This window comes from Homo sapiens, chromosome 1, assembly GCF_000001405.40.
Source record: "Homo sapiens chromosome 1, GRCh38.p14 Primary Assembly".
Classification (NCBI taxonomy): Eukaryota; Metazoa; Chordata; class Mammalia; order Primates; family Hominidae; genus Homo; species Homo sapiens.
This window is the reverse complement of record NC_000001.11, coordinates 238,891,710-238,904,390: the sequence shown is the minus strand read 5'-3', so window position 1 is coordinate 238,904,390 and position 12,681 is coordinate 238,891,710. Positions and strand designations below refer to the sequence as shown.

At 39.2% G+C, this 12,681-nt stretch overlaps 1 annotated feature.

Moving 5' to 3' along the window:
• Positions 3,314-3,827: an enhancer, noted in NCBI's record as "H3K27ac-H3K4me1 hESC enhancer chr1:239063864-239064377 (GRCh37/hg19 assembly coordinates)". NCBI's record gives its function as "activates a minimal SCP1, AML or CMV promoter by ChIP-STARR-seq in naive H9 embryonic stem cells {active_cell/tissue: H9 hESC(naive)}" and the evidence as "EXISTENCE:reporter gene assay evidence [ECO:0000049][PMID:30033119]".

Here is a 12,681-nt window from a genome sequence, read left to right as displayed (position 1 = left end):
TTTCTTAATCCAGTCTATCATTGTTGGACATTTGGGTTGGTTCCAAGTCTTTGCTATTGTGAATAGTGCCGCAATAAACATACGTGTGCATGTGTCTTTATAGCAGCATGATTTATAATCCTTTGGGTATATACCCAGTAATGAGATGGCTGGGTCAAATGGTATTTCTAGTTCTAGATCCCTGAGGAATTGCCACACTGACTTCCACAAGGGTTGAACTAGTTTACAGTCCCACCAACAGTGTAAAAGTGTTCCTATTTCTCCACATCCTCTCCAGCACCTGTTGTTTCCTGACTCTTGAATGATTGCCATTCTAACTGGTGTGAGATGCTATCTCATTGTGGTTTTGATTTGCATTTCTCTGATGGCCAGTGATGGTGAGCATTTTTTCATGTGTTTTTTGGCTGCATAAATGACTTCTTTTGAGAAGTGTCTGTTCATGTCCTTCGCCCACTTTTTGATGGGGTTGTTTGTTTTTTTCTTGTAAATTTGTTTGAGTTCATTGTAGATTTTGGATATTAGCCCTTTGTCAGATGAGTAGGTTGCAAAAATTTTCTCCCATTTTGTAGGTTGCCTGTTCACTCTGATGGTAGTTTATTTTGCTGTACAGAAGCTCTTTAGTTTAATTGGATCCCATTTGTCAATTTTGGCTTTTGTTGCCATTGCTTTTGGTGTTTTAGACCTGAGGTCCTTGCCCATGCCTATGTCCTGAATGGTCCTGGAATGTTCTTCCATTTGTTTGTGTACTCTTTTATTTTGCTGAGCAGTGGTTTGTAGTTCTCTTGAAGATGTCCTTCACATCCCTTGTAAGTTGGATTCCTAGGTATTTTATTCTCTTTGTAGTAATTGTGAATGGAAGTTCACTCCTGATTTGGCTCTCTGTTTGTCTGTTATTGGTGTATAGGAATGCTTGTGATTTCTGCACATTGATTTTGTATGGTGAGACTTTGCTGAAGCTGCTTATCAGCTTAAGGAGATTTTGGGCTGAGACGATGGGGTTTTCTAAATATACAGTCATGTCATCTGGAAACAGAGACAATTTGACTTCCTCTTTTCCTAATTGAATGCATTTTATTTCTTTCTCCTGCCTGATTGCCCTGGCCAGAACTTCCAACAATATGTTGAATATGAGTGATGAGAGAGGGCATCCTTGTCTTGTGCCAGTTTTCAAAGGTAATGCTTCCAGCTTTTGCCCACTCAGTATGATATTGGCTGTGGGTTTGTCATAAATAGCTCTTATTATTTTGAGATACATTCCATTGATACCTAGTTTATTGAGAGTTTTTAGCATGAAAAGCTGTTGAATTTTGTCGAAGGCCTTTTCTGCATCTATTGAGATAATCATGTGGCTTCTGTTGTTGGTTCTGTTTATGTGATGGATTACGTTTATTGATTTGCGTATATTGAACCAACCTTGCATCCCAGGGATGAAGCTGACGTCATCGTGGTGGATAAGCTTTTTGATGTGCTGATGAATTCAGTTTGCCAGTATTTTATTGAGGATTTTCCCGTCGATGTTCATCAGGGATATTGGACTAAAATTCTCTTTTTGTTGTGTCGCTGCCAGGCTTTGGTATCAGGATGATGCTGGCCTCATAAAATGAGATATGGAGGATTCCTTCTTTTTCTATTGATTGGAATAGTTTCAGAAGGAATGGTACCAGCTCCTCTTTGTACCTCTGATAGCATTTGCCTGTGAATCCATGTGGTCCTGGACTTTTTTTAGTTTTAGGCTGTTAATTATTGCCTCAATTTCAGAACCTGTTATTGATCTATTCAGAGGTTCAAATTCTTCCTGATTTAGTCTTAGGAGGGTGTTTGTGTCCAGGAATTTATCCATTTCTTCTAGATTTTCTAGTTTATTTGCAAAGAGGTGTTTATAGTATTCTCTGATGGTAGTTTGTATTTCTGTGGGATTAGTGGTAATATCCCCTTTATCATTTTTTATTGCCTTTATTTGATTCTTCTCTCTTTTCTTCTTTATTAGTCTTGCTAGGGGTCTATCTATTTTGTTGATCTTTTCAAAAAAACAGTTCCTGGATTCATTGATTTTTTGAAGGGTTTTTTTGTGTCTCTATCTCCTTCAGTTCTGCTCTGATCTTAGTTATTTCTTTTCTTCTGCTAGCTTTTGGATTTGTATGCTCCTACTTCTCTAGTTCTTTTCATTGTGATGTCAGGATGTTGATGTTAGACTTTTCCTACTTTCTCTTGTGGGCATTTAGTGCTATAAATTTCCCTCTACACACCACTTTAAATGTGTCCCAGAGATTCTGGTACATTGTGTCTTTGTTCTTATTGCTTTCAAAGAACATTTTTATTTCTGCCTTCATTTCGTTATTTACCCAGTAGTCATCCAGGAGCAGGTTGTTCAGTTTCCATGTAGTTGTGCAGTTTTGATTGAATTACTTAATCCTGAGTTCTAATTTGATTGCACTGTCGTCTGACAGACAATTTGTTATGATTTCCGTTCTTTTGCATTTGCTGAAGATTGTTTTACTTCAATTATGTGGTCAATTTTAGAATAAGTGTGATGTGGTGCTGAGAAGAATGTATATTCTGTTGATATGTGGTGGAAAGTTCTGTAGATGTAGATGTCTATTAGATCCACTTGGTCCAGAGCTGAGATCAAGTCCTGGATATCATTGTTAAGTTTTTGTCTCATTGAACTGTCTAATATTGACAGTAGGGTGTTAAAGTCTCCCGTTGTTATTGTGTGGGAGTCTAAGTCTCTTTGTAGGTCTCTAAGAACTTGCTTTATGAATCTGGGTGCTTCTCTATTGGGTGTATATATGTTTAGGATAGTTAGCTTTTCTTGTTAAGTTGATGCCTTTACCATTATGTAATGGCCTTCTTTGTCTCTTTTGAGTTTTGTTGGTTTAAAGTCTGTTTTATCAGAGACCAGGATTGCAACCCTTGCTTTTTTTTTTTTTTTTTTTTTTTTTTTGCTTTCCATTTGCTTGGTAGATCTTCCTCCATTCCTTTCTTTTGAGTCTATGTCTGTCTTTGCACGTGAGATGCGTCTCCTGAATATAGCACACCAATGGGTGTTGACTCTATCCAATTTGCCACTCTGTGTCTTTTAACTGGGGCATTTAACCCATTTACATTTAAGGTTAATATTGTTACGTGTGAATTTGATCCTGTCATTATGGTGCTAGCTGGTTATTTTTTGAATTTTCAGCCTTTCTGCTCTGGTTTCTCCCCATCTTTGTGGTTTTATCTACCTTTGGTCTTTGATGTTGTTGACCTATGGATGGGGTTTTGGTGTTGATGTCCTTTTTGTTGATGTTGATGCTATTCTTTTCTGTTTGTTCATTTTCCTTCTAACAGACAGGCCCCTCAGCTGCAGGTCTGTTGGAGTTTGCTGGAGGTCCACTCCAGACCTTGTTTGCCTAGGTATCACCAGTGGAGGCTGCAGAACAGCATATATTGCTTCCTGATCTTTTCTCTGGAAGCTTCGTCCCAAAGGAGCATCTGCCTGTATGAGGTGTCGGTCTGCCCCTACTGGGAAGTGTCTCCCAGTCAGGCTACATGGGGGTCAGGGACCCACTTGAGGAGGCAGTCTGTCCATTATTAGAGCTCAAATGTCATGCTGGGAGAACCACTGCTCTCTTCAGAGCTGTCAGACAGGGACGTTTAAGTCGTAGAAGCTGTCTGCTGCCTTTTGTTCAGATATGTCCTGCCTCCAGAGGTGGAATCTAGAGAGGCAGTAGGCCTTGCTGAGCTGGTGTGGGCTCCACCCAGTTTGAGCTTCCCTGCTGCTTTGTTTACACTGTGAGCATAGAGCCACCTACTCAAACCTCAGCAATGGCGGATACCCCTCCCCCCACCAAGCGCCAGCGTCCCAGGTCGATCTCAGACTGGTGTGCTAGCAGCGAGCAAGGCTCCGTGGGCATGGGACCTGCCAAATCAGGCACAGGAGGGAATCTCCTGATCTGCTGGTTGTGAAGACCATGGGAAAAGCACAGTATTTAGGCAGGAGTGTACCATTCCTCCAGGTACAGTCACTCATGCCTTCCCTTGGCTAGGAAAGGGAAATATCCTGACCCCTTGTGCTTCCTGGGTGAGGCAATGCCCTGTCCTGCTTTGGCTCAACCTCCGTGGGCTGCACCCACTAAGATAAACCAGGTACCTCAGTTGGAAATGCAGAAATCACCCGTCTTCTACGTCAGTCTCACTGGGAGCTGTAGACCAGAGCTGTTCCTATTTGGCCATCTTGGAAGTGACTGTAATTAACAAAATTTTTAATCTAATGATCTACCTAAAGCTTGCTTCAGTAGTCAAGCCTCATAAAATGATTTTTCTTCCTTATCAAGAAGAAAATTGAGTGACATCATTTATGTATAGACTATTACACTGAGCTTTGGTTAAATTTTTGTTTGTTTAGCTTTTATCTTATCTGTTAAGTTGTTGTTACAATCCTCCTTGTGCAAAGCCTAGAATTAACCAAGGTAACACCAAATAATTATAATTTTTGGTATAGAGAAAATAATTTTGTTTTTGCCTGAAAAGATACACTATTAACATAAATAAATCTTTTTCAAACTGCTGAAAGAGTAACTTTACAAATGTTAAAATAGTAATTTCAAGAAAATGATAAGGTTTGGTATTCTGTATCATCTCTGTATTATTTTTTATGTAACCAGTTTATTAAATGGGTTGGACTCAGTGAAGGTATAAATGCCTTAATTTTTCTCTAGCTGCTGACATCTGACATGATCTCTTATGTCTTCCCAATCTGGATGAAATCTCAACACACATCTGTTCTTTCCAGAAGACAAAAAAAATAAAGGAGTCAAGGGAGGAAAGAAAAAAGTTATTTGCTTGTTTGTTTGCTGATTGAAGTATTTAACTATCTTGCTATCTTAGATTTTTCTTGGTTGACCATAGATGCTCAAGATGTAGTTATCATCCCAGTGAGCCTCTTACTTGTGTTCCTTGGAGGCCCCTTGGGAAACTGACACTGTGATGGTTAATATTGAGTGTCAACTTAATAGGATTGAAGGATGCAGAGTATTGCTCCTGGGTGTGTCTGTGAAGGTGTTCCAAAGGAGATGAACATTTGAGTCAGTGGGTGGATGGGGAGAGGCAGACCGACCCTCAGTCTGAGTGGGCATCATCTAATCAGGTGCCAGCACAGCTCAGATGAAAGCAGGCAGAGGAACAAGGAAGGACTAGACTGCCTAAGTCTTCCAGCCTCCTTCTTTCTCCCATTCTGGGTGCTTCCTGTCCTCAAACATCAGACTCCAAGTTCTTCAGCTTTTGAACTCTTAGATCTACACCAGTGGTTTGCCTGGGGCTTTCTGGCCTTTGGCCACAGACTAAAGGCTGTGCTGTTGACTTCCTCATTTTTGAGGTTTGGGACTCAGACTGAATTCCTTGCTCCTCAGCTTGTAGACAGCCTATTGTGGGACTTCACCTTGTGATCCTGTAAGTCAATACTCCTTAAAAAACTCCCTTTCATATATACAGCTATCCTATTAACCCTGTCCTTCTAGAGAACCCTGACTAATACAGATTTTGGTACCTAACACTACTAATAATGATCTATCCAAGACTGGGTAATTTATAAAGAAAAGAGGTTTAATGAACTCCCAGTTCCACATGGTTGGGGAAGCCTCACAATCATGGTAGAAGATGAAGGAAGAGCAAAGTGATGTCTTACATAGAAGCAGACAAGAGAGCATGTGCAGGGGAACCACCCTTTATAAAACCATCAGATCTTGTGAGATGTATTCACTATTGCAAGAACAGCACAGGAAAAACCTGCCCTCGTGATTCAATTACCTCCCACCAGGACCCCCCATGACACATGGGGATTATTACAATTCAAGTTGAAATTTGGGTGGGGACACAGAGCCAAACCATATCAAACACTATGAAGTTCTACATCATAGAAAATGTACTTTCTGGGTCATGTCTGGCTGCTTGTCTCCTACTTTAGCTTTTTTTCTGGAAATAATATCCATAACCTCTAACTGTTGGGATCCTTGATCTTGGCATTATGTGTACTTGAGAAGTACCTTCAAGATGGTTCAGCTCAGTCATCATCTAAGACATCCATGTCCCAATTGATTTACATATCTTTGTTTGTTTGTTTGTTTGTTTTTTGAGATGGAGTCTTGCTCTCTTGCCCAGGCTGGAGTGCAGTGGCCTGATCTCGGCTCACTGCAACCTCTGCCTCCTGGCCAATTCTCCTGCCTCAGCCTCCCAAGTAGATGGGACTACTGGTGCATACCACCACACCTGGCTAATTTTTGTATTTTTAGTAGAGGCAGGGTTTCACCATGTTGGTCAGGCTGATCTTGAGCTCCTGACCTTAAGCGATCTGCCAACCTCAACCTCCCAAAGTGCTGGGATTACAGGCCTGAGCTGCCACGCCCAGCCTGATTTACATATCTCTGAATGCCAATTGGTGGAAATCCACAATGCTTCCCTGCTTCCCTCCTTATTCACCCTGCCATAAGGTGCTGCTCCAGATCTTCTCATATGGTCATAATTCTTAACACACAGAAGCAGATCCAACTCCCTGTTTTTATAGGTCCTCACACTCAAATAGATATATGACGTGCAATATCTCTCTAACCACATTTCTTTTCTTCTGGTGCCACTGAGATATGCCCAAGTTTCTAAAACTCAGTCTCCTCCTGTTTAAATTATCCCAGTCTCTACAGAGGATCCTTGTGGAGCCCTCCCTACTTTGCATATTCTTAACACTATACGAAGCTTGCTATTTTATGAGATAAGTCATCCACATTCATCAACTTCAAAATTAACTTTGCTATTCTTAATAACTTGTTCTTAGGTTGAATATTATGCAAAACATCTCAAGAGTCATTGTAAAACACTCCTGAGATGATTATTACAATTACATTTAATTTATATGTTATGAAGAAAATTGGCATAAGACATTGAATCATTTTATTTATGAACACGATTTAATTATACACTTAAATTCTTGTTTGCTTATTTCAGGAGAAGTTTACAGCTTTCATTGTGAAGTTCTTACACATTTTATTATTTTCAATTATTATTGTAACAACGTATAACCTCTATTATTTCATTATGGTAAAATATACATAACAAAAAATTGACTATTTTACCCATTTTTAATGTACAGTTTAAGCATATTAAGTACATTCACATTGCTGTGCAAACATCACCACTATCTACCTTTGGTACATTTTCATAATCCTAAACTCTAATTTTTTAGATTGCCTAATTGATTTTTTGTTATGATAAAGGATAATTATTAATTTTCTGTAGTTGCCTTATATGTGGAAAACTATCAGGAGCCGAATATTTATTCTAATATTTTATCTCTCAGTTTGGAGTCTAATATTTATTTTAATAGTTTACCTCTAGATTCATTTGGATTTGTTACATAGAAATTCATGTTGTCATCAAACACTAAGCTGTTTCCTAAATATTTTCATGTAACATGATCTCTTATACTTTATATCATTTTATTCTTAACCTTGAGTATTGTCCTCACTTCTCTCTTACATTTTACTAATTATCTATTCAACTTTGTCTAATTAGCTATTTCACTCAGTTTTTTGAGCTTTTAATTTCTAGGTTTCAATTACTATAACTTCTCTTCTTCGTGTGTAGCTTTAACAGTTTTAAATAATTCTTTCATCACTTTAAAATTGTTCCTCTACTTTGATTTTTCTGGGTACTAATCTTCTCATGTGTCCCTTCCTCATGGTGAATTGTTTAACTTTGAATTATTTTATTCTTTGGCTGTTAGCTCAGTTTTAACTGCCTCGCCTTACTCTGTGGTCATCCCATACATTATGTTAATTGTTCCTAGGGAGTAATGTCAAGTTTGCTCAAGTGGGTGCTCAATGGATTTCACTAAAAATTGACTCTTTTTTCCATCATTTATATTAGTTCATTGGCTTTGAAATATCTCAACACAGGGAATTCAACAAATTTGGCTCCAACATTTTAACCTGCTAGAGGTAACGTCTTTTTTTCTATCCCCTTATAAGGGATAACTGGAAGGATGGCCGAGAAAGGAATGAGGCCAATAGACCCAAGTTCAGGCAAGCTGATTTATTGTCAGTCCTGTCGGGCTACCTCCTGACAAAAGCAGAGGAGGCAGCCCCACTTACAGACTACAGCAGGGCTGTATAGGGCAAGGAACTGGGTCAGGGTTGGCGAGCTAAGCTGGGTGTGACTGACTCACACCCAGGGTGGGGGAGCTGAGTGAGGAGTGCAGGTGTCTTGATCACATCTTGGAGATGTTTTTTGCCAGGTTTGTCATATGAGGTGAACAGATATGTGAGGTGAAGAGACATGTTAACCACATCCTGTAACTGTCTGGACAAATAGTTACTGGAGGAGTCAGTGAAGTGAGGGGGTTGTCTTTTGCCCTGGGGTAGCTGTGTGGAGAGTACAAGAGACTGTGTTGTAAAGCCTGTGGGAGGGGAAGGGAATGGTCTGGTCGGGATGGCCCTAACACCCCTGAATTCAAGTTACAGAAAAGCTTCCAATTCCATCTTGAGCTGGAGGTAGGGTTCTTTTCATCTCCTGTCCCAGAGAGAGAAACTTCCCAGGCTTCCTAGATTATGCAGGTATCTTCGTTATAGATTCTGGTTTTGCTGGGGTCCAAGGAGTATATCCACGTTTTCATAGGAAGATAGATGCTGAAGGAAACTAAGAAGTCATCAAGTCTAACCATGTTGTTTTAGAGTGAATCTTCTTATTTATGCTGATTCAGTTACAGGAAAAATTGAATGACTCTTACTCCCCTCCTTTTAAAAGTAAGAAGTCCAAAAATAATCTGGTGAAAGCACAATAATTTAGTCTACCTCTATTCTGTTTTAATATTAGGCTTTAAAGAATACATTTTAATTATTTGTAAAAATACCTTCCTAAAACATGGAGAAATTGAGAAGGTGGATATGATAGACAGGTCAAGAGGTGATAATTTAATTACACAGTCAATTATTGAGCTATTCATTATTGAAGGCAGATACAGAATTCTTTTGTATCCTCTCTGTGAGTTTTCTTAAATGAAAGATGTTCTCTAAACTGTAACTTAATTATTTTAATACACTTTAAATGAATAGATTTAAGAAATCATTTGAAAACATAGTAAGTCATTGTTAAGTCTTTCCCTGAATTTATCTATGGATTATGAATATAAATTTGGTCAAGTCATATGTATCCTCCCACTGTGCTCCAGAGAAAGAATAACAAATGGTTCTTCACATCAGCCTGCAGACTTGCAGCCATGCAAACACCTAAGCCAAATGGAACTCTGTGGACAAAGGATGCTGGATGCGCCCTGCATTTTAATTGTTGGGGAAGAATTACAGCCTCAGGAATTATAGACATGGTCGCTTACTACGATTTGAACTTTAAAAAGAATCACCTCAATTTTATTTTTCTTTTATGTCAAAGTTGTCATTTTCCAGTAGTAAAAGTAAAGTGTATATCCTCCTTTGCTTTCTGTGAGTAAAATTAAAGAAACATACATGCCCTGAAGAGTCCTCGGCAGTCAAATTTTCTCTAGTTTTGTATCCAGTGCCCCTGCACTTCCAAATCTTTTCCATGGAAAGCTATACAAAGAAAACGAAATGTTCTAGCATCCGCTGAATGTAATAGATGGAGGCGGCTGCTCGTGGCCAGACGTTGTGGAATCACTGCTCCGATTCCACACACGCTGGCCAGCTGCCCTGATGGCCGAAGGGAATCCATAAATGGATACTTATAATCCATATGCCAAATGATTGAGAAACTATGCTAAACAAGACCATACCAATCATTTCACAAACATAAAGCAATACATTTAAAGACTATCCCAACATTATCAATTCATTAAACACTGACTTAGCATGCAGTGCCATACCCTGGATAGTGAGGATGACGCCGCAGAGGATGATGGGTTCAGCAGCCCAGATGCCCCTCATGACCACACACTCATTTCCCCAGTGCAGGGAACATTGGCTATTAGCAGCTCTCAGATGGGCCCATTTCCAGGGAATTGCCCACAGCAGAAGGAAGCTGCCTCACTCACAGCTATGCCACTTCTTCTCTAAAGGCAGCTCCAATGCAGTGTTTGTTTAACAGAGGAGGGTGGGATAAAGTTTGTGAATTTAGTCAACTCTGATGGGTCATGCTAGCTCTGGAGCTCTTCAAGGGATCAACGGAGCTCTCTGTTGTAACTGCAGCATGGTGCAGCTTCTCCCTCTGCCCAATCCTACTTCCCTCATTCACTTAAAGAATTTGTTGCAGAGAGGGCTCCCCAGCAGATCTTCCTCACGTAAATCGGTTTCATTGTCTGTTTCTTGGCAAGTAGATCCATGATAGGAACAAAGATAATTAAGACTTAGCATCTATCCTCAAGGATCTTAGAATAAGGATGGAATGGCATGCAAACAAGCAAATATTATCATCCTAAAGGATTCCATAGTATATGGATAAGCATAATATATGGAAGCACCAAGGAGAGAGTGATCAGTAACACCTAAGGAAGAAGTGATAGAAAGGGGCATCCTGAGAGACATCAGTACAGTATAACACAGCATCAGTCCCTGTGGCACTGCTCTCACTGTCCACAGTATGACATTGTATGACAAATAAATGTTCATTGAATTAATAATGTTGAGATAGTTTTAAAATTTATCAATTTATTGTTCATTGTTTTAATCATTGTATCATTTTCAAGGAAAGGTCAACAAGAAGGTAAATGTTGGTGGTGGGTTAGAAATGATCAATAAAACTTCAACAGACAGAGTAATAATAGGACATGCCAGGCAAAGAGAATAGCATTTTAAAAACTGCAGACATGGCCAAGTGTGGTGGCTTACGCCTGTAATCCCAGCATGTTGGGAGGCCGAGGCAGGTGGATTGCCTGAGGTCAGGAGCTTGAGACCAGCCTGGCTAACATGGAGAAAACCCATCTCTACTAAAAATGCAAAAAAAATTAGCCGGGCGTGATGGCATGTGCATGTAATCCCAGCTACTTGGGAAGCTGAGGCAGGAGAATTGCTTGAACCCAGGAGGCAGAGGTTGCAGTGAGCTGAGATCATGCCATTGCACTCCAGCCTGGGTGACAAGAGTGAAACTCCATCTCAAAAACAAAACAAAACAAAACAAAACTGCAGACAGGTATATCTTCAGAGAGGCACAAGTAGTTTGGAATGACTTCAGCAGGAAGACAAAGCTGGCACGGAAGTCAAGAGTTAGATTGCAGATGTTGACCCGTGGCCTTAATTTTTAATCCAAGAGCTGTTGCTTTCCTTCATAAACTTTAAAAAATATATTATGAATGAGTGTGGTATTAGTTTATGTGACCTTTATGCTGAAGTAACCTGAAGTCTTCAAAATACACTGGCTTAAATTAGATTGAAATACTTCTTTCCCATTATCAGTTCAATATCAGTGGGACAAACTGGCAGGAGGCCTTGCTTTCAGGGATATAACTTCCTTCCATCTTTTAGCTCTGCCTTCCCCTAACTGGTATCCTGGAAGTTGGGATGCTGCCCTGTGAGTTAACACAGAGAAGAGTCACTGGAGAGAGAACAACAGTTCTGTTCATGTTTTAATGTCAAGTTTGAAATGAGTCACTTCCTCTCACTTTCCCTTGGCTGGTTCTTAGCCAGGTGAAACATCTATTCTTAGAGGACCTGGGACCTGGATGGCCATGAGCCAAGCTTACCTATGTGGAAAAGAGGGAGCACCAGCACTATCCGAAGAGGAGAAAAGGACACGGGAACATTCAGTGGATTCCATCGTCATTGCCAATGTTTTCAGAACTTGCGGTTCTTACATCATAACCAAGATTTCTGCCCTCGATTATAAACCAGGGCCTGCATTTTTATATGGCAAAAATCAGCTGGTTCTGCTAGAAGTTATTAACCTCAAAGGGCCTAGTTCTTGGTTCAATACATGCAGAAGTCAATAAAAAAATTACATAAGCTAAGAAAATCTTTTATATGCTTAAAAGGCAATATATAAATATTTTGAAAGTATCCAATGAAAAATTTATTAAAAAAATATGATGTAATGAAAATTGTGATGAATAAGGAAATTATCTTTGATAAAACTTTATGAATTAAAAAATACTGGCATTCCAACAGAGGTTTTAAAATGTAATTATGTATTAAATAAAAACATATATAGTAAAAAATGTCCTGAAAATACTAGTTTTTTTGTTTGTCTTTTTTTTTTTTTTTTTTTTTTGAGATGGAGTCTTGCTCTGTCGCCCAGGCTGGATACAGTGGCGTGATCTTGGCTCACTGCAAGCTCTTGTTTGTCTTTATTTATTTATTTACTTATTTATTTATTTATTTTTTAACAAATGGAGCACTTCTTATGTTATTTATTTGGTCTCAAATAAGTTGGGTGTTCTTAGTGGAAATAAGCATTTGGAGATGTAAGTTAAATTACAAATGTCATTGCCCTGATGTGAAAATATGGCTAAATTTTTACTGGACATATTGGTCAAGTTTTTAAACCACCTACGTCATCTACTGTTGCAAATGTTAACAGCATAGATAAGTACAAATGTAACACCCTTTCCACATGACATTGGAGGTAGTTTTAGGTTTGGATTGGCATACTCATTCATACAGCTCATGGGCCATAATCTGGCACTATGTTCACTTTAGTTTTCTGCAAAAATATAGATCAGGGATTTCAATATATCTGACAGCTTCAGGAGAA